At 42.0% G+C, this 20,412-nt stretch overlaps 2 protein-coding genes across 12 annotated transcripts, besides 4 other annotated features; one reads left to right on the top strand and one right to left on the bottom strand.

The window, feature by feature from the left end:
* PUS3 (pseudouridine synthase 3) lies at positions 109–9,830 on the top strand. Of its 7 annotated transcripts, none has more exons than NM_001441240.1 (5): positions 109–145; positions 2,471–2,636; positions 6,985–7,408; positions 7,526–7,645; positions 9,029–9,830. In NM_001441240.1, the coding sequence occupies exons 3-5, from the start codon at positions 7,031–7,033 to the stop codon at positions 9,059–9,061; spliced, it is 531 nt and encodes a 176-aa protein (NP_001428169.1). In that variant the 5' UTR covers positions 109–145; positions 2,471–2,636; positions 6,985–7,030; the 3' UTR covers positions 9,062–9,830. The 7 variants fall into 7 exon arrangements, with proteins under 7 accessions (NP_001428169.1, NP_001428166.1, NP_001428168.1 ...); NM_001441237.1 differs by having other exon boundaries at positions 7,526–8,091; NM_001441239.1 differs by lacking the exon at positions 2,471–2,636.
* Positions 2,669–19,701, bottom strand: HYLS1 (HYLS1 centriolar and ciliogenesis associated). 5 transcript variants are annotated; one of them, NM_145014.3, is made up of 4 exons: positions 19,298–19,701; positions 11,843–11,892; positions 4,157–4,211; positions 2,669–3,971 (listed from the first exon to the last, which is right to left on the bottom strand). In NM_145014.3, the coding sequence occupies exon 4, from the start codon at positions 3,944–3,946 to the stop codon at positions 3,047–3,049; it is 900 nt and encodes a 299-aa protein (NP_659451.1). In that variant the 5' UTR covers positions 3,947–3,971; positions 4,157–4,211; positions 11,843–11,892; positions 19,298–19,701; the 3' UTR covers positions 2,669–3,046. The 5 variants fall into 5 exon arrangements, with proteins under 5 accessions (NP_659451.1, NP_001128265.1, NP_001411293.1 ...); NM_001134793.2 differs by lacking the exons at positions 4,157–4,211; positions 19,298–19,701 and adding an exon at positions 15,550–15,647; NM_001424364.1 differs by lacking the exons at positions 4,157–4,211; positions 19,298–19,701 and adding an exon at positions 15,550–15,647 and having other exon boundaries at positions 2,669–3,968.
* Positions 15,070–15,459: a silencer, noted in NCBI's record as "silent region_4044". NCBI's record gives its function as "represses an Ori minimal core promoter by ATAC-STARR-seq in GM12878 lymphoblastoid cells {active_cell/tissue: GM12878}" and the evidence as "EXISTENCE:reporter gene assay evidence [ECO:0000049][PMID:35858748]".
* Positions 15,560–15,609: a silencer, noted in NCBI's record as "silent region_4043". NCBI's record gives its function as "represses an Ori minimal core promoter by ATAC-STARR-seq in GM12878 lymphoblastoid cells {active_cell/tissue: GM12878}" and the evidence as "EXISTENCE:reporter gene assay evidence [ECO:0000049][PMID:35858748]".
* Positions 15,700–15,749: a silencer, noted in NCBI's record as "silent region_4042". NCBI's record gives its function as "represses an Ori minimal core promoter by ATAC-STARR-seq in GM12878 lymphoblastoid cells {active_cell/tissue: GM12878}" and the evidence as "EXISTENCE:reporter gene assay evidence [ECO:0000049][PMID:35858748]".
* Positions 15,890–15,939: an enhancer, noted in NCBI's record as "active region_5702". NCBI's record gives its function as "activates an Ori minimal core promoter by ATAC-STARR-seq in GM12878 lymphoblastoid cells {active_cell/tissue: GM12878}" and the evidence as "EXISTENCE:reporter gene assay evidence [ECO:0000049][PMID:35858748]".

Raw genomic sequence — 20,412 nt, 5'->3', positions numbered from 1 at the left:
TAGATTCTAGCACCAAGCTCGGTTCTCAGAACTACATTTCCCACAAACTTGGACTACACCTCCCATGAGGGCTCGGGCGCCTGCGCAGAAGACGCACAGTGACAGCTTCCTTTCTCGGAAACGCGGCGCGGCCGGCTGCCGGAAAGTAAGTGTGGGATTTTTGGAGTGGGTTACTTTCTGGGTTCCACAGGGGAAGGGACAAATGGACACACTGCTGAACGGTTGTCTGTTGTCTTCTTTTTGCCCTCTTTCACATACTTTGGTCTTTTCAGGAAAGCATTGCCGTATGGAAATGAGACCTCGCTTAAGACCATGTATTTTTCTTTTGTGCCTGGTACTTTCTGGAGCTCTCGGTGGAAACTCGCCGCAGTAGGGTCGTCTTTAATTCCGTTGTGACGGGAGCTTCAGTGGTACTTGTACTGTGGAGTACAAAAGTGCTCTGCTGCCCCACTTAGAATTGGGTGCTCATAAAACAGTAGAAGTTGAGAACCCAGGAGTATGTGGGAGGCTGTGGCAGCAATTTTCAAATTATTTTGGGGATTGCCTTACATACAGACCACGATTGCTTTCTAGTGATCATAGTGCGTGTCTGCTAATCCTTTGGACAGTACTCCCTCTTCTTCCCTTTGGATTAATATAAAGTTTATCAAGAGGAATGCTATTTATGTGTTAACCCACTGGTTCCTGAGATTAGGACTTTTTTTTTTTTTTTTTTAAGACTGTCGCCCAGGCTGAGTGAAGTGGCGTGATCACTGCTCACTGCAGCCTCTACCTCCTGGGCTCAAGCGATCCTTCCACCTCAGCCTCCAACTAGCTGGGACTGCAGGCGTGCGCCATCTTGGCAGCCTAGTTTTTAATTTTTTAATTAACACACGGTCTCGCTGTGTTGCCCAGGTTGGTCTCGAACTCCTGACTTCGAGCGACCCCCCCTCCCCCCCGCCACCACCCCGTCTTGGCCTCTCAAAATGTTGGGATGACAGGCGTGAGCCACGGCGCCTGGCCCAATGTATGGAACATCTGGTGATGGCCGTTTTAGTTTGTAATTGGTGCTTAGGGGACACACGAATTCCCTCTCTGTGGTTACTTCGCAGCCCTGGCCAGGGTGTTACTTTAAACGTCTGCTTGGGAACTCCTGCACTTCACCCTGAATTAGGGTAAGGTGTGCTGGAAAAAGCACTGTAGTGTACCAAGTCCTGTTTTTGCCACAAATCTGCCTTATGACCAACTAGACTCACTCCCTGGCCTAGTTCTTTAGTTAGCACGGGAGTTGAACTTTGGAGACTTTGGTAATGTTGGACTTTGAGATCCAAATAATCACTGGAGTGTTTTGCATGTTAAAATCACCATGTAATTTTTGACCTCATAAAAAGTCGAGGTATAAATACAAATTACCTTTAATCCCACTACTCGTTAGGTTTTGATCTTTCCCTGTGTGTACTGAGATCATCCTGTATAGTTTATGATACATTCATGTCACTTAATTTCACCTTCCCATATTACTTTCCCAAGATTCCCAATGACTATTTAATATTCTAATGTCTTTAAAGACATTTACTATTCCACTGTTGGTGGACAGTTTGCAGTTTCTACTTTTTTGCGGTGAGTATATCCTACATGTACCTGAGTCATTGATTACTTCTTTTCCAGACAAATGCCTAACAAATAGAACTGGGTGAATGTGTGAATTATGTGGCTTTAAATGTTACAGGGAAAATGATTTTCGCAGATAGTAACGGTCAAGGTCATTCACCTTTATGTTAGAACTTTTTCTCTGTGAACAAGCAAACTGTACTATCATTCTTCTGGCCTCTGGTGTTAAAACTGACAACTTTCAGATTTTAGATGGTCCCCGTTGGGTCAGAAATATCAAGAACAGATAAATTACAATTTAAGGTGAGCAGAATTCCTATTTTGATCTGCACCCAAACAGGCTAGGTTCATATTGGTATTTATGTTTGCATCTGATTCCAGATGTTACTAGTTTGAATTTCTACTGGAGTAGGAATACCCTTCCAAATGATGCATAATTCCTACAAAAATCTCAGGGGCAAATTATAAAAAGAATGGTATTCCAGAAATAACAGCTGGCAGGCAAAATATTAATGAAATAATTCTGAAATAAAACAAGTTTGAATCCTGTATGTTATATGGTACTGTTTTGGGGCATTTGTTAGAAAGTATTTTAAAGCTACTTGGATTTGTTGTACACCTTTAGTAATGAGGCTATCCATGTTGTTAACCTCTCCCATCCTTTAGGACTATGTAAAAGGCAGGTTTTTGTTCCTTCTTTTTTTTTTTTTTTTTTTGAGACGGAGTCTCGCTGTCGCCCAGGCTGGAGTGCAGTGGCGCAATCTCGGCTCACTGCAGGCCCCGCCCCCTGGGGTTCACGCCATTCTCCTGCCTCAGCCTCCCGAGTAGCTGGGACTACAGGCGCCCGCCACCTCGCCCGGCTAATTTTTTGTATTTTTAGTAGAGACGGGGTTTCGCCGTGTTAGCCAGGATGGTCTCGATCTCCTGACCTCGTGATCCGCCCGCCTCAGCCTCCCAAAGTGCTGGGATTACAGGCGTGAGCCACCGCGCCCGGCTTGTTCCTTCTTTTGAGCTCTCATCATAGCCCAGGTTCAAGATCATCTTAGGCAAGTATTTCATGAAATAATGTTCAAGTTCATGAATTTCCAAAATTCTTTAATTGGTAAGTGTAATGCCCAGCAACTTAAAAAACACACACTGAAGCACAGCAACTCATATTGATAGGTAAAAAAAGTTACAGGACACAAAGGGCCCTTACTAATTTGACAAAATAGAAAGACCAGGTCTGTTGTTCTTTCTCTGATATGATTTATCTTGCAATTGCTGGATTTGAGTGGCAATTTGGAAGTATCATCTGATACCAATGTGATATATAGCTAGGAAAGACCAATGATAGGTGAAGTCCTTACCATAAAATGTTTCGAAGAGCTTCTCAAGACAGTTGTTTCTATTTAAAAGGGAAGATATAAAGAGCTAGGTTATCTCAAACAATCCTGTGAAAGAAGTTTAAAAAGATTTAAGAAGGAGAAAGAGGGAAGGGAAGCTTCCTGGGTATGACACCATTTGCAAGGTCACAACGAACACCCCAACGGAGTGCAGACCTTTTCTTCTCTGTTGGTACTAGATAATTGTTTGGGACATATATATGCTGAGGTTTGGATTGGGGTTCTGCTCGACAAAGCATCTGCTCTCGGACACCCCAGCGTAATTCCTTTCTATGATCTTCACCAGGTAAACGTATTGAGTCCCAGTCCCGTTTGTACTCAAAATACCGGGCTACCCGGTCTGTCTTGCCCCGGTTTCGGCTTAACTGGTCCAGCTTTGGGAGAATAAAGGACTTGGGTCTGCTGGCAACAATCAGGTCTTGTTCGTAAGCTGGAGAGCCCATTCCTTCTCTTTGTAGAGAGCAAATGAGCTGATCTTGAGAAATTCCTTGGTATTCATGTGGTAGGTTAAATTTTTGTGAAACATCAAATGAAGATTCCTTGTCTTCCTGGAACTGTACATTCATCAGCCTTTGTCTTAAGTCCCAGAGATCCTGATCATTTTCTGTACCAGATTCTGATTCACTGATAATCGACTCATCTGTTACTAATACTTCCCCATCTGGCTTTCTGCGCAGCACCTTTCTCTTCATCACTGGCTTTCGGAGTCTTTGGGAGGCCTCAGAGACTGTTTCTGAAGGGACATTACTTTCTACATGTGGGTACTGTAGTTGCACAGGAAGAGCAGGTCGCTTCCCTGGGGCTACTGAAGCTTTACTGTAGGGATCATATTGGATAGATTGGGCTTCTCTCCTGACATCTCCTTCACCCTGCCCTGCACAGATGTGGGTAAAAGCTGTAGCAGCTGCCAACATTCGTTCTTCTGGATCCATATTAGCCCATATTTGTCCATCAGGTAGAAGTTCTTCCATTGCTTCCCCTACACTGTAGGACCTTCTGCAAGAGATAACATTGGTCAGTTTTCTGATAATAAATTCCCAGCTCATAAATTGCTCATTCCCTTATCTCCGTTTTATAGCAGTCAAATGGAGAAAGAATGGCTAAGGCCATCATAAATTCAATACAGGGTAGTATCAGAACAGTTTAGAGGGGCATTAACTCAGTTCTAGGGAATCTATTACCTGCTTTCATTTCCACTCTTACTCCTGCTTTCTACTGTCTTGCCACCTTCAGGTCCTAAAACAGGACAGTATAGTTCTGGCATAAGAAAAGCTTGAAACTACATGATATGGGGCATACTGCTTAATGCACATTATGTAACAGGTACTTAGGGAGTACTTTATGTGCCTGCCATTGTTCTATGTGCTTTACATTTATTAATTCATGTAATTTTCAGCTGTGGGATTATCTGCTTTTCACAGATGAATAACATGAGGCACAGGGAAGTTAAATAACTTGCCCAAGGTTACTCAGCTAGTAAGTAGTGGAGCTGAAATTCTAACTCAAGCAGTTTGGCTTCAGACTGAGTCCCTGCTTTTAACCATAAAAGAGTGATTTGATCTAAAAAAAAAAAATCACAAAAGCAGTGTTGTGTTCTCTCACACACATATAATGTGTATATACGTGCATACATATAATTTCTATGCTTTAATAATTTTTTTTTTTGAGATGGAGTCTTGCTGTCACCTAGGCTGGAGTGCAGTGGCATGATCTCGGCTCATTGCAACCTCCACCTCCTGGGTTCAAGCGATTATCCTGTCTAAGACTCCGGAGTAACTGGACTACTACAGGTGTGGGCCACCACGCCTGGCTAATTTTTGAATTTTTAGTAGAGATGGGGTTTTACCATGTTAGCCAGGCTGGTCTCAAACTCCTGACCTCAGGCAACCCACCCGCCTCGGCCTCCCATTACAGGGGTGAGCCACCGCGCCCAGCTGTCTTGGTAGTTTTAATGCATCTTCAGTTGCCAGCTAAATCTGTTTATTCTAGTGTCTGAAATAACTTGGTATCCACATCAATCAGCCACATACCCAATGCTAGTTTCCTGACTGGATCTGAGATAGGTATCTACTGTCCACTATTTCCTGTGTCCCCACTATTTTTCTTTTTAAACTGAAAAACTAATACATGCACATGATAATTTTAAGCAAGGATTTTCCCTCCCCCACCAAGTTTTACTCTCAAAGGCAATTTCTTATGATTTATCTAGAAATTTTCCATATTCACATGTACATTTTTTTTTAATACCGTAAAGGACAACACTACACAACTCTTCTGAACCTTAAAGATAATCTTGGTTATCCAGCTATATCAGCACAGGCCGACATTCTTCATTTTATGTTGCGCGGAATTCCAATGTATGAATGTATCATAAATTTAGTCAGCCATTCCCTTACTGGTGTAATTTAGGTTTATAGGTTTACTGATGCTAACACGAGTATCTTGCAAGTTTTTATCTATTTGTGCAAGCATATGAATGGATTAAATTTCTAGACATGGGAGAGGTGGGCCAAAAGGTATGTGTATATTCAATTTTGACAGCTGTTGCCAAAATGTTTACCTCCAAAGAAGCTGTACTGACCATACATTAATAGAGCTTGTGTCTCTATTCCCTCTCCAAAGTGGTATACTATCAAACTTTGTCTTTGCAGTCACTTCCTTGAAAAATAGTTCATATCCTTTTGCATTTATCTCAGCTGAGTAAAATTGAGCATTTAAAATTTTTTTTAAAAAATTTTTATAAGCTTTTTTCTTTTTGTTTGAAATGCTTGGTCTTTGCCCATTTGACTCTCAGGTTGCTGGATTTTTTTTTTTTTTACTTTTTCATTAAAACTGATGTATATATTCATGAAATATATATTGAGGAAGGTCGCACTTTACCATCACTTATTTTTTTCTTCTCAGTTTGTCATTTGCCTTTTATTTTTTGCTGGCAGAAGTTTTTCCTTTTAGGTCACATCTTTTTCTAGTGTCTGGGTTTCTAGACTGTTTTGCTTAGAAATGCCTTTCCTACTCCAGAATTTCAGAAAAAAGTCATTCCATGTTTTCTTCTAGTACTTTCAGTTTCATTTTTTACAATTTAAACTTTTAATCTATTATAGATACAGAAACTCATAGTAAAAAACTAAGCTACCTATACTTAGATAACATGGCCTTAGAACAGATGTGGAGATGGTCTTCTCTAACTAAAGTAACCATCAGTCACAGATTGTCTAGGACCATCCCAATTTTAAGGATGTAGTACAGTTGTCCTCAGATTATTGAAATATTACAGGAATTTCTACACTGACATCTACATTACATCAGACTGACTTTTTAAACTATTAGAGGCACAGAAATCTTTTATCAAAATATGCATTTAATTCAGCTTTAGAAAGGGGTCAGAGTGCTTAATTATCTTTTTTTCTCCCATCAAAATTGCTTAAAGTGAGAAAATCTTGTCTCTAGCTTCTACTTCCAATGTGAAATACAACCATCGGTAAGCTTCTTCAGTTAGGCTAGCTTCTATTGCACCACCTAATATTCATCTAATGAATATTAGATGATGGAGCATACAAGTCATTTATTTGAGATAATGGAAAGCAATAGAAACTCAGAGCAGATAAAAGTAGCCCATATAAAGAAATCTTATGACTAGCAAATTGAACAAATACAGTGAGAAATCAAATGGAAATGTTTTAGAGAAAAAAATCTGTAACATCAGTCCTCAATCAATTCAGTGAAGATAGAGAAATGAAATCTATAGACATTCTCCCTGAATTTTGACTGCTTTAATGAAACCTTAATAATGACAACTGAATAACAAACAGTTCTTTCCCTCTGTGAACTGGCCAGACAGGATGGAAAAGAATGCTATCTGTGGATGATCAACCCACAATAAAGCTAATGCTTGTATTCCTGGAAAAGCAAAAGTATATTCTTTGGGCATTAAATTAAATCTTATATACCATTAGAACATCATCAAAGGAACTAGCATTGAAACTGTTGTATCCCTTTGCTCTCTTTTCAGACAGGGCAGACCTGTATGGTTCGTTTATTCCTGGGGTTGTCATATCATGGCTTATAATGACACAGACAGAAACCAGACTGAGAAGCTCCTAAAAAGAGTACGAGAACTGGAGCAAGAGGTGCAAAGACTTAAAAAGGAACAGGCCAAAAATAAGGAGGACTCAAACATTAGAGAAAATTCAGCAGGAGCTGGAAAAACTAAGCGTGCATTTGATTTCAGTGCTCATGGCCGAAGACACGTAGCCCTAAGAATAGCCTATATGGGCTGGGGATACCAGGGCTTTGCTAGTCAGGAAAACACAAATAATACCATTGAAGAGAAACTGTTTGAAGCTCTAACCAAGACTCGACTAGTAGAAAGCAGACAGACATCCAACTATCACCGATGTGGGAGAACAGATAAAGGAGTTAGTGCCTTTGGACAGGTAAGGGCCAATACACTGTTTCTCAAAGCAAGCAATACTAGGATATTCTAGGTATACACACTGAGTACTGAGATTATTTGTGTCTCTAAAACCCAGTATCTTTGTCTAACTCCACAGGTGATCTCACTTGACCTTCGCTCTCAGTTTCCAAGGGGCAGGGATTCCGAGGACTTTAATGTAAAAGAGGAGGCTAATGCTGCTGCTGAAGAGATCCGTTATACCCACATTCTCAATCGGGTACTCCCTCCAGACATCCGTATATTGGCCTGGGCCCCTGTAGAACCAAGCTTCAGTGCTAGGTTCAGCTGCCTTGAGCGGACTTACCGCTATTTTTTCCCTCGTGCTGATTTAGATATTGTAACCATGGATTATGCAGCTCAGAAGTATGTTGGCACCCATGATTTCAGGAACTTGTGTAAAATGGATGTAGCCAACGGTGTGATTAATTTTCAGAGGACTATTCTATCTGCTCAAGTACAGCTAGTGGGCCAGAGCCCAGGTGAGGGGAGATGGCAAGAACCTTTCCAGTTATGTCAGTTTGAAGTGACTGGCCAGGCATTCCTTTATCATCAAGTCCGATGTATGATGGCTATCCTCTTTCTGATTGGCCAAGGAATGGAGAAGCCAGAGATTATTGATGAGCTGCTGAATATAGAGAAAAATCCCCAAAAGCCTCAATATAGGTGAGTTAAAAATAAAAAATAAATGGCACATGCCTGTAGTCCCAGCTACTCGGGACGCTTGAGGCACAAGAATTGCTTGAAGCCAGGAGGCGGAGGTTGCACTGAGCTGAGATTGGACCACTGCATTCCAGCATGGGTGACAGAGGGAGACTGTCTTAAAAAAAAAAAAAAAGAAATAGCATATCCTCCTCTCCACCGTAACTGTCTAAATAACGAAGTCACTGATTCTGCCTTCATGAAGCTTTACTCTGAATTGTAGAATGTTATGAACATGTAAGAGGGAGCAGTGTATTTTAATTTCCTCTCATTGTTCTATCCCATGAGTAAAGAGGCAGGTGTTTTGACCAGGCTCCTTAAGTAAAAAGACATTAATTTCTACATCATTGGTGTTTCTGAATTTATGTTAAGAGGTATTACTGTTAGGATGTGGTAAAATTAAAATGAACAAACTATTCATATTAAATCTTGCTTGTTTTATATCACTGAGTAGTCATCCTACTGTACTTCTGAATTTTTCCTAATTTCCTATTTCCAAAATGGTAGGAAAGAAAGAATAGTCAAGATTTTTCATTTGAGAACAGGCTGAGATAGATACCAATAATTTTACTCATACTATACAAAATTGCAATGCCATTAACAAATTTGGAAAAAATACCAGCTGTTTTTAATTTTATAGCAGTATGATGGAGCCATGTCTTGTTAGCACTGACATTTACCTTACATAGATCAGGTTGATCTATGATTTGTTGCATTTTTCATTATTGTAATAAAGGTGTTCAAGGTTAGGGATGGTGAGATATTTTCTCAGCTATTAGGCAATATTAACATCAATGGTGGCGCCCTACCCGGCTCCCTTAACGCAACTAACCCTTAGTTTTTAAAGAACTGTTAGATGGATGTTATGTATTCTCAAACTTTCTTTTCTCTTTTTCTCTAGTATGGCTGTAGAATTTCCTCTAGTCTTATATGACTGTAAGTTTGAAAATGTCAAGTGGATCTATGACCAGGAGGCTCAGGAGTTCAATATTACCCACCTACAACAACTGTGGGCTAATCATGCTGTCAAAACTCACATGTTGTATAGTATGCTACAAGGACTGGACACTGTTCCAGTACCCTGTGGAATAGGACCAAAGATGGATGGAATGACAGAATGGGGAAATGTTAAGCCCTCTGTCATAAAGCAGACCAGTGCCTTTGTAGAAGGAGTGAAGATGCGCACATATAAGCCCCTCATGGACCGTCCTAAATGCCAAGGACTGGAATCCCGGATCCAGCATTTTGTACGTAGGGGACGAATTGAGCACCCACATTTATTCCATGAGGAAGAAACAAAAGCCAAAAGGGACTGTAATGACACACTAGAGGAAGAGAATACTAATTTGGAGACACCAACGAAGAGGGTCTGTGTTGACACAGAAATTAAAAGCATCATTTAACCATAGACAATTTGCCAGGATCTAGGAACCACCTAATGGTAGGTGGACAGAAAAGGAAAAAAAAAAAAATTTACTTGCAAGTACTAGGAATTCAGATGATCAGCTCTTAAAAGAAAAAAAAAAGCAAAAAGACTAAAGCCCTATTAAGGAAGTTATTGCTTTAATAAGAAATTTCAAATATTCTCTTATCCCGGTCCAAAAGGATTAAGCGATTAAAGAACGTAAAATGGAGATGTATTTACATACACCTGGAAACCTGTGCCTTGTATTCAAATTCATTAAAGCCTAATCCTGCAAGTATCTGATTTGTTGTGTTTTTCTCTCCAAAGCAGATAAGATATTCACTACTCATCTGAATTTTCATAAAGTGCTGCATCTGAGTGTCTTATTTTCTAAGACAGAATTTAAGAATATTAAATTCATTTAATTAAAGATTGGATAAATTGGTTTAATGCCAGGCACAAAGTTACCTACCTGGAATAAAGCACAGTACCTTATCTTACAAAGCATATAAATCTAGTGCAGAGGTTGGTAAATGTTTTCTGTGAAGGATTAATGAGTAAATGTTTTAGGCTGTGTCAACAACAAATGGCCTCTATTGCATACATGTTTTTACAATCCTTTACAAATCTAAAAAGCACTCTTAGTTCATGGGCCATGGTGTTTGCCAAGCCTTGGGCTAGTGACTATAGGCAAGTTCTTATAGAGGAGATATTGAAGCTAGATCTTGCAGAACAAGTGGGAGCCAGTTAAAATGAGGATAAAGAACCACTTTAAATGTGTCTAAGTCAGAAGATCCAGTTTGTATAAAGGGTTAGAGATGACAACATATGCATTCAGGCAGCTCAATTCTTTAATACGGCTTGAGAGTGACAAGAACATAGTTTAAAAAGGTAAGCACAGGTCACATTTGTAGAGCAAAGACATTCCTTAAAAAGCTTAGATTTTGCAGGGCCACTGAAAAAATTTACATGCCCGATAGAATTGTGTGGCAAAAATATTGCTCTGAGTATTCTGTGGATGGGAAGAGGGCAAGATTGGAGGCACTGTGACCAATTAGGGGGCTGCTGGAGTAATGGAGGCAATAGATGATGAAAATGGCCTAGAAGAGATTTTTAGTGAGGCAAATGGACAGAAGTAGATGAATTTAAGATTAAGAAAGTAGAAACAACAGGACTCAGTGAATAAATATGCTGTTCAAAACTAGGGAGGCTTTCTAGATAACTCCTAAGTTTCAGATGTGAGCAAAATGAGTGGCTGGTAGTACCACATACTGAGAGAGGAAAAATGAGATAGAGCTTTGCTTGTTCTCAAAGTTAATAAGTGATCCTCAAAATATTACTTGTGAACACCAGTATTTATTCAAAAGAACTCAGAGTTGTCTTAAATACATTATCCTTTGCAACCATAAAAATAATAAACATCAAAGTTTGAACTCAGACCTTCTTCCTCAATAATAATTTTCATTACTAAAGTGAGTGTTCACCACATTTGGAATTTTTACAAATGCCACCTCAGAGAATGAGTAATTTTGCAAACTTACATTTGAAGGCTTCTTGTTTATTTTACCTATGATGACTGTCTTGACTTATGTAGTCACTAAATTCTTACTCTTCTAGATTGGATAGTATAATCTAGTCAACCTTGAAAGATTTTACTTAAGATCTAAGACCCTGATCCTCTAATTTACAATTCTACCATGTTTATGAGATCCAAAGTTTTACTTACCAACCAATAATTAGTTTTTTCCTACCCATGTTCAAGACTTCAGGTATACAAATATGTTTTCTATCCTCAAGCTGCTAGTGCAAATAACACATGGGACAATTAAAAACAATACTAATATATAAATCATAAACTAATGCTGCATAATTGCTACAGAAGGGGGGTGGACCACAGAAATAGACTTCACTGAAACAGTTCCAGATTTAGGAAGTAAAATAGCATACAAAAGGTGAGGTGACCCTGTAGTACTAAAAAGTACATTATAATAGCTGTTATATCCTAGCAGACAGGGAACCAGAAAATACCCCATTTTAGAGATGGGGAATTAGTGGTACAAATTACTTAAGATTTATTCAAAATTGCCCATTGTATGATCCAAGTCTTCTGGATTTGAATCATTATCACTGCTTTTTGGGACCCAGTCTATCAACACTTCATTATGTCCTGAGTATTCTTAAAATATAATTACTTTGGCCTTTACTTTTGATTTAAAGATCCTCTTTTTCATGTAATCAATGATCATGGTGGAATAACTTAAATATGTAAGTGCAAACCAAGGTTTTTTTTTTTTTTTTTCAATTTCTTACCTTATTTCAATGTATCTTGATTGGTATTTACATTCAAGTAAAAAAAAAACCTAGAAAAGAAGAATAGAGTTTAAAAAAATTAACTCTGAAGCAGTGATACATGGAACAAAATGCACTAACCATAAGTCATTGTTAGGATACTGTGTAGAAGCAAAGGAATCAGAAGATCAGGGTCTTAGATCTTAAGTAAAATCCCTTCAAGTCTGGCTAGATTATATTATCCAATCTAGAAGAGTAAGAATTTAGTGACTACATTTTTGGTAGTTGCCATAGAAAAAGTCAAGACAGTCATCACAGGTGGAACAAATGGGAAGCCCCCAAATGCAACTTTGCAAAAGTACTTGCTCTCTTAGACAGCATTTGTACAAATCCGAAGTCTCTGGCCCATGGTAAGGACTAAATAAATGTTGGAATAAAGGAACTATTTAGGTTGTGAAATTTAAATGACACTTTTTATATATTTATACATAAATAACGATTTGTGAGACTCTGGGCTAGGAGGATTTTTGGCAGTAAAGCCAAGAGTTAGTTTTTTTTTTTAATGGCATGTGTCCTACTATACAGTGATTAATGTGTTATTTCCTCTGCATTTCAACTGTGTCACACTCCTATTTTTTTCCTTGAACATATGAAGATGATGTTTGCAAACAATAAATAAAATAGAAACTTTAATAAGGTCCATAGGTAACTGTCAGTTCCTTCTCTTTCTAATATAAAAGATCGAACAATCCTTTCTCTTTAGAGGGAAACTTTCACATAAAAGCTAGAGCAACTTGTATTCTGTAAACACAGACAACATTGACCGAAATACCTAACCATATCTTCTCTTCAAAAGTCTTAGTGACTCAGCATCCTAGGGTTAGCTAGTTACAATCAAAAGGATTTCAAGGGTAGAAGGGGCAAAGACTTCAAAATGAGATAAAGGGACTGGGTCAGTAGACTGCTATAGGGAGGCTATTGCAGAGTTATAACAAATTTCTCCACCTCTGGGGAGGTAAGCAAGCAGCTTAAAGAATCACAGTATTAAAACAAAACAAAACATCCTACCACAAAGGCAAACAATACCATAATGAAGGCAAAAGAGACAACAAACTGGGAGAAATACTTGTAACACGTTTAAAAATCAGTAATTTGAATTCCTCTTAGAAAGCTATTAAAGGGTACACATTATCAGTAAGATAGGGGAGAAAAGACAGATGCCGTACCAAACGAATAATAACTAACAAACAGCTGGGCGCAGTGGCTCATGCCTGTAATTCCAGCACTTTGGAGGCTGAGGTGGGAGGATCGCTTGAGGCTGTGAAGGAGTTCAAGACCAGCCTGTGCAACACAGCAAGACCCCCATCTCTCAAAAAAAAAGAAAAAAGATTAGCTAGGCGTGGTGGCATAAACCTGTAGTCTCAGTACTATGGGGGCTGAAGCAAGAGGACCGCTTGAACCCTGGAGTTTGAGGCTGCACTGAGCTATGATCTGGCCACTGCACTCCAGCCTGGGCACAAAGCCAACGTCTGTTTCTAAACAGCAACAAAAATTAATAAACAGAAAACATGTTCAATTTCAGTAATGTGTATAAAAGCATTAAGACATCATTTCAGATTGATAAGATTTTTTCAGTACCCGGTGCTGGCAAGTGTGTGAAGAAATAAAAACAAGCATCCTTATTATGCCCTGTGTGTTGGGGATAATCCGTTTTTCCAGAGGGCAGTTTGGCATTATTATTATTGTTGTTGTTTTTTGAGACGAGTCTCTCTCTGTCGCCCAGGCTGGAGTTGCGGTGGCCTGATCTCGGCTCACCGCAACCTCTGCCTCTCAGGTTCAAGCGATTCTCCTGCCTCAGCCTCCCGAGTAGCTGGGATCACAGGCACCTGCCACCACGCCCGGCTAATTTTTCTTCTATTTTTAGTAGAGACTTGGTTTCACCATGTTGGCCAGGCTGGTTTCAAACTCCCAATCTCAAGTGATCCGCCCGCCTCCGCCTCCCAAAGTGCTTGGGATTACAGGTGTGAGCCACCGCGCCCGGCCCAGTTTGGCATTTTGAATCAGAATTTAAACTGTACCACAACTTCTAAGTCATAATCCACTTCCAGGAATTTATTCCAAGGACATAAATTGGACAAGAATGCAAACATGTATACATACAAGTGACCACTACCATACCATTTTATGATTATGAAGAGACTGGAAACAAATGTACATTAGTAGGGGACTGGTTAAATAATATATGATACAATACAGCCATAGCAACAAACGCCACGCATCCATTAAAAATGGTAATGCGTATCGACACTGACAGAGAAATGTGTTCCCAATTTATTACTGACTCAATAATGTATAATCTGCTTAACTGACGTTCTTTTAAATTAACATACTTTATTATATTTGTAACATGCAATTATTTAAAACACATTTTATAAGGAAATCACATAAATATAAGGTATATATTATGAATATATCTGAAGTAAACCTAAATGTGAACAGTGTTTGATGGTTATCTGTGACTGATGAAATTTCGAGTATTTTCTTTCTTCTTTACACGTACTAAATGTTGCTCGGATTGCTAAAAACATGTACATACTATGTTTGCATTCTTGTCCGATTTATGTCCTTGGAATAAACTCCTGGAATTGGATTATGACTTAGAAGTTATGGTACTACTTGAATTCTGATTTATGTTTTTCTTTTCTCTTTTTTTTTTTTTTTTTTGAGACAAGAGTCTTGCTCGGTCGCCCAGGCTGGAGTGCAGTGGCGCGATCTCGGCTCACTGCAACCTCTCCCTCCCGGGTTCAAGAGATTCTCCTGTCTCGGCCTCCCGAGGAGCTGGGACTACAGGCGCCCGCCACCAAGCCCGGCCAATTTTTGTATTTTTAGTAGAGACGGGGTTTCACCGTATTGGTCGGGCTGGTCTCGAACTCCTGACCTCACGTGATCCGCCCACCTCGGCCTCCCAAAGTGCTGGGGTAACAGGCGTGAGCCACCGCGCCCGGCCTGAATTCTGATTTATAATGCCAAACTGCCCTCTAGAAAAACAGATTATCCCCAGCACACAGGCCATAAAGGTGCTTGCTTTCATTTCTTCACTCTCTCAGCAGCATGGGGTACTGAAAAATCTTACCAATCTAAAAAGATATCTTAATGTTTTTCTTTGCCTGCTTAGTGAGATTGTATACTGTTTAGAATAAAAAAGATTTATTTCCATTTCGGGGTGGACAAACACCTTGGACGGTTCCATGCTGCAGTCCACAAAAGGTGCAGCTAGAAGGCGACAAGACACGCTCCGCCTTTCAACGGCAAAGCTCGCAGTCGCCCCGCCTGGCCGTGGGCGTGGCTTGGACCCAGGTCGCTAGCGGCCTTCGGGACTCCCCTCCAGCCCTGGGGCCGTCCCCGGCCTCCGCCTGGTCCCAGGGGCGCGGCCCAGGAGCTCAGAAAGGCCACCGGGGCAAAGACCGCGGCGGCGGCCAGCGCACACCGTGACCTCCAGGGGCTGCGGCCCGCCGCGCACATCGCCTGTAGCTCACGCTGCCCCGGCCGCCTCCCTCAGGAACGCAGACGTTGGGGACGGCTCGCCAGGCAGGACCTGGAATCCACGGAGGGAAGCTGCCACTCTGCACCGTCCCGACGGTGGGAAAAGGAGCGAGGGCTCCCGCCGCAGTGGGCCGGCAGCCACCAGGTCCCCGCGTCCCTCCGCTTCCGGCCTTCGCCCGGCTTACCCGCGTCGCGGAAGTCCGCTCTCTGCACCGCGTCCTGCCAGTCGCCAGCAGAGCACCGCAGATTCTGTTAGCTTTCGCGTAACTTGCGCAGGCGCACTGCCGGCCCACGCGCCGAGCCTGCGGTTAACCGCCGACCGCTGAGGTTTAAATCCGGAGAGCGAACCGGCACCCTTGGCCCGGTCCGCCCTCCCTCTTATTGGTCCTGAGGGTAAACGTCCTCCAAGTCTGTATCCTGATTGGCGCACATTTTGTCTGGGCCTTCTCCGCCGGCGGGAGCATGCCCGGGATTTCCAATGTGGCCTTAAAAATATCCGAGCCCGCCTAGCTGAGGCGCGCAGGCAGCAGCCGTTGCTGCGACGCCTCTGGTGTACTAAATCTGGAGGGGAGGTTGGGCCCTCGAAGAGAAGGAGAAGACCCTCAAACCTTGGCTAACGGCGACATAGCTGGCTTTTTGGAGAGGCCGCCTAACGGTCTGCCACTTCATTGGAATCAGCCTCCGCCCTTCTCAACTGGCTGCTGCGGGGCCAGTGGTGCCGGGAGACGAGGGCGGGCGCTCAGGGACGGTTCGAACAGTCTGGGGTGAGTCCGCCTGTGCGCTCTAGACGTTTCCTTGGGGCCTGAGAGAGCGGCTGTATGAAACCCTGGCGCACTGAGCTCTTCCTTTCCTCTGCATGGTGTGCAGGGCCCTGGCGTGACCCGTGGCTGCGTCTCCACAGCTCCTCCCACGTTACTCTAACTGTGCTCCAGCCACCGACTGCCTTGCTCCGACATGCACTTGTTTTCTTTTGGAATGTGCCTGTCTCCTTCACATGGTGTTACTCTCAACTTTTTTTTTTTTTTTTTTTTGAGACGGAGTTTCCCTCTTGTTGCCCAGTTGCCCAGGCTGGAGAGTAGTGGCGCGATCTCAGCTCTCTGTAACCTCTGCCTCCCAGGTTCAAGCGATTCTCCTGCCTCAGCCTCCCGAGCAGCTGGGATTACGGGCGAGCACCACCATGCCCGGCTAATTTTGTATTTTTAGTAGAGATGGGGTTTCACCATGTTAGTCAGGTGATTCTACCCCCTCGGCCTCCCAAAGCTCTGGGATTACAGTTGTGAGCCTCTGTGCCCAGCCACTAATTTTTTTTTTAAACCCGATGTTTTAACTCTTTTTGCATCTGTACCTGTAAAAAAAAAAAAAAAAAAAAAAAAAAAAATCTAGTGCTTGGGGATTGCTGAGGATGAGATCTGTAAAAGCAAGAGGAGAGGCCCTCAGGGTTCAATATCCTAGTCAATACCAAGCAAACCTATCTCAACTGGTCTTGAGTCCTGAGCATTGCATTTTCCACCTTAAACAAATAGGTGCTAGTTGTCAAGTTCATCTTACACCATTTCTTAAATCCAGGATTCAGTGGGAGGGGAGAAATGTTTAATCCTTTTCCTCCAAACACTTCGTATTATCTCTTACTCTCCCTCTTTGCCTCAGGGCCTTTGTGCTACCTCTAAGGCACTTTGAATTTGTGGGAGGAAGAAAATGGAAAGAACAAAGGAGGGAAGATGACAGAAGTAGGTTGTGGAGATTTGAGTGACTGCCCCTACATCTGCAATATCATAACACTCCTTTAGTGCAGCGGTCCCAACCTTTTTGGCACTAGAGACAGGTTTCATGGAAGACAATTTTTCCATGGCTCAGAGAGGGGGTATGGTTTTGGGATGATTCAAGCGCATTACATTTATTGTGCACTTTATTTCTATTATTATATTGTAACATATAATGAAATAATTATGCAACTCACTGTAATGTAGAATCAGTGGGAGCCCTGAGCTTGTTTTTCTGCAACTAGATGGTCCCATCTGGGGGTGATGGGAGACAGTGACAGATCATCAGGCATTAGATTCTCATAAGGAGCATGCAACCTAGATCCCTGGCTTGCGCAGTTCACAATAGGGTTCACGCTCTTGTGAGACTCTAACACCCCTGTTCATGCGACGGAAGGCAGAGCTCAGGCAGTAATGCCAGATGGGGAGTGGCTGTAGAAACAGATGAAGCTCCTACGGCTTACCCCCTGCCTTGCGGCCTGGTTCCTAGGTGCCTGTCCGTGGCCTGGGGGTTGGGGACCTTTGTTTTAGTGCATATATTCTTTTCTTTCCATAGGAGCAAATTTAATATGCTCAGGTTTTATCTTATGCCAGCATGACTTTTTCTTTGGCTTTGAATCTCCAATCTGTCTTAGAAACCAAAGAGTAGATGGAATCATTTTTCTTCCAGCTTTGAACATCAGCATTCTCCTTATGGATCCCCCAGTTCGTTTCTTTTTCTTTTTTTTTTAATTTTTTTTGAGACAGAGTCTCTCTCTGTAGCCCAGGCTGGGGTGCAGTGGCACGATCTTGGCTCACTGCAACCTCCACCTCCCAGGTTCAAATGATTTTCATGCCTCAGTCTCCTGAGTAGCTGGGACTACAGGCGTGTGCCACCACACCCAGCTAATTTTTGTATTTTTAGTAGAGACAGGGTTTCATCATATTGGCCAGGCTAGTCTTGAACTCTGACCTCAAGCGATCCGCCAGCCTCCACCTCCCAAAGTGCTGGGATTTCCAGCGTGAGCCACTGTGTGCAGCCCCAATTAGTTTCTGTTATCCTTTTTATTAAATTTTGATCTTTGAAAACGTTTAATACATAGCAGCTTGAAGGATCTACTCCTGAATATTTCATATTGCAAGTGGTATCTTGTGTTCTACCCAACCCTGGTTTTTTTGTGGATTGCTTAGTCCTCCAATTTTTCTTAGATCTGATTTAATAATGCTTGTGGTTCCCAGAAATCTACTGAACCCCGGTCAAACCTTAAACAAGAAACTTTAACCATGACCACTTAAAATACAGTATATAGAGAAAAATCCTACTCTGCAAACCAAATCTCATCTTAAAAATTTGTTATGGAAAATTTCAAACAAATGTTAAAAAACCATACATAATGAAGCCCAGTGAACTCAATACCAGATTCAGCAATGATTAACTTATGACCAGTCTTGTTGCTTCTATATCACCACATACCTTGTCTTGTATTATTTTGAAGCAAATACTGAGTATCTGAAATCTAAATATTTCAGTATGATCTCTGAAAAATTAAAGGACCTTTTAAAAGCATAACATAATACTATTTTTGTTTGTTTGTTTGTTTTTGAGACGGAGTCTCACTCTTTCACCCAGGCCGGACTGCAGTGGCGCTATCTCAGCTCACTGCAAGCTCCACCTCCCGGGTTCATGCTATTCTCCTGCCTCAGCCTCCGGAGTAGCTGGGACTACAGGCACCCGCCACCGCACCCGGCTAATTTTTTGTATTTTTAGTAGAGACAGGGTTTCACCATGTTAGCCAGGATGGTCTCGATCTCCTGACCTTGTGACCCGCCCACCTCGGCCTCCCAAAGTGCTGGGACTACAGGCACCCGCCACCGCGCCCGGCCAACATAATACTATTATCACACCTAAAGTAGTTAATATATTTTCTTACTATCATCAGATATCCAGAGTTCAATTTTCTACTTGTCTTTCTTTTTTTAAAGTTTGCTTAACTGGGTCAGGATCCAGTCAAATCCACATGATATGTCAAATCCATATGTTCTTTAAGTTTCTTTTATTCTTTAAATTTCTCCCTCATTTTTTTCCTTGCAATTTATTTGTTGAAGGAACCAGGTTATTGGCCCTGTACAATCTCCCACAATCTGGATTTTGCTGATTACATCTAAGCAGTGTAGTTGAATATGGCTTCCTTACCTTTTGATTGCAACACAGCTCTCTTCCTTATGCTTTCCCCAATTAGGTGTTGTTGGTTTATCAACTCATCAACTTCTTTATGAACTCAAATATTGCTTTCAACTGGTTGTATCATCATGCTTGTTAACCACTCTTTTTTTTTTGAGACAGAGTCTCGCTCTTGTCGCCCAGGCTGGAGTGCAGTGGCACGATCTCGACTCACTGCAGCCTCCGCCTCCCGGGTTCAAGTGACTCTCCTGCCTCAGCCTCCTGAGTAGCTGGTATTACAGGCGCGTGCCACCATGCCCAGCTAATTTTGGTATTTTTAATAGAGACAGGGTTTCGCCATGTTGGCCAGGCTGATCTTGAACTCCTAACCTCAGGTGATCTGCCCGCCTTGGCCTCCCTCCCAAAATGTGAGGATTACAGGCGTGAGCCACCACGCCCGGCCAAGTTAACCACTCCTTTATGATATCTTTGCTTACCTCACCTCTTTGTTGACATTTTCAGACAAACTTTTCAACTATAGTCCTCCCTTGTCTGACTAATTACATCCTGTCGCTAATATTTTCAATTCTTCTCTGTTTAAGTCTTCTCAGTATTGGAGGCAGAACAATAATGGCATAAAGAATAACAAAATGAAAATAACCAGCTTTCCCTTGAGACTGCTGCTCCCTTCTGTCAGCCTTTTTGTCCATTCTCTCTTCCCTATTTTGTTTGCTCAGTTGCTCCTTAAGTCCCTGCATTCTGGATTCTACCCTCATCAGTATATTCAAACTGTACTTTCAAAGGTCACCAGTGATCTTGGTAGTCAGCTCCAATCGTCTTGCTCAGCCCTCATTCTTTTTTACTTCTTAAAAGTATTTGATAAAAAGGCGGGGCGCATTGGCTCACGCCTGTAATCCCAGCACTTTGGAAGGCTGAGGTGGGCGGATCATGAGGTCAGGAGATCGAGACCATCCTGGCTAACACGGTGAAACCCCGTCTCTACTAAAACTACAAAAAATTAGCCAGGCATGGTGGCCAGCACCTGTAGTCCCACCTACTCGGGAGGCTGAGGCAGTAGAATGGCGTGAACCTGGGAGGTGGAGCTTGCAGTGAGCCGAGGAGATGGCGCCACTGCGGTCCAGCCTGGG

The sequence above is a fragment of the Homo sapiens genome, chromosome 11, assembly GCF_000001405.40.
Source record: "Homo sapiens chromosome 11, GRCh38.p14 Primary Assembly".
Classification (NCBI taxonomy): Eukaryota; Metazoa; Chordata; class Mammalia; order Primates; family Hominidae; genus Homo; species Homo sapiens.
Note: the sequence above shows the minus strand (reverse complement) of the source record. Positions and strands in the feature narration are given on the sequence as shown.

What these genes read in the sequence shown, in the direction of transcription:
- HYLS1 (NM_145014.3), bottom strand. Translation starts at nt 3,946, where the DNA reads ATGGAAGAACTTCTACCTGATGGACAAATATGGGCTAATATGGATCCA.
- PUS3 (NM_031307.4), top strand. Translation starts at nt 7,031, where the DNA reads ATGGCTTATAATGACACAGACAGAAACCAGACTGAGAAGCTCCTAAAA. An exon ending in GAGTTAGTGCCTTTGGACAG is followed by an intron (nt 7,409 to 7,525) that starts GTAAGGGCCAAT and finishes CTAACTCCACAG; the next exon opens with GTGATCTCACTTGACCTTCG. An exon ending in CCCCAAAAGCCTCAATATAG is followed by an intron (nt 8,092 to 9,028) that starts GTGAGTTAAAAA and finishes CTTTTTCTCTAG; the next exon opens with TATGGCTGTAGAATTTCCTC.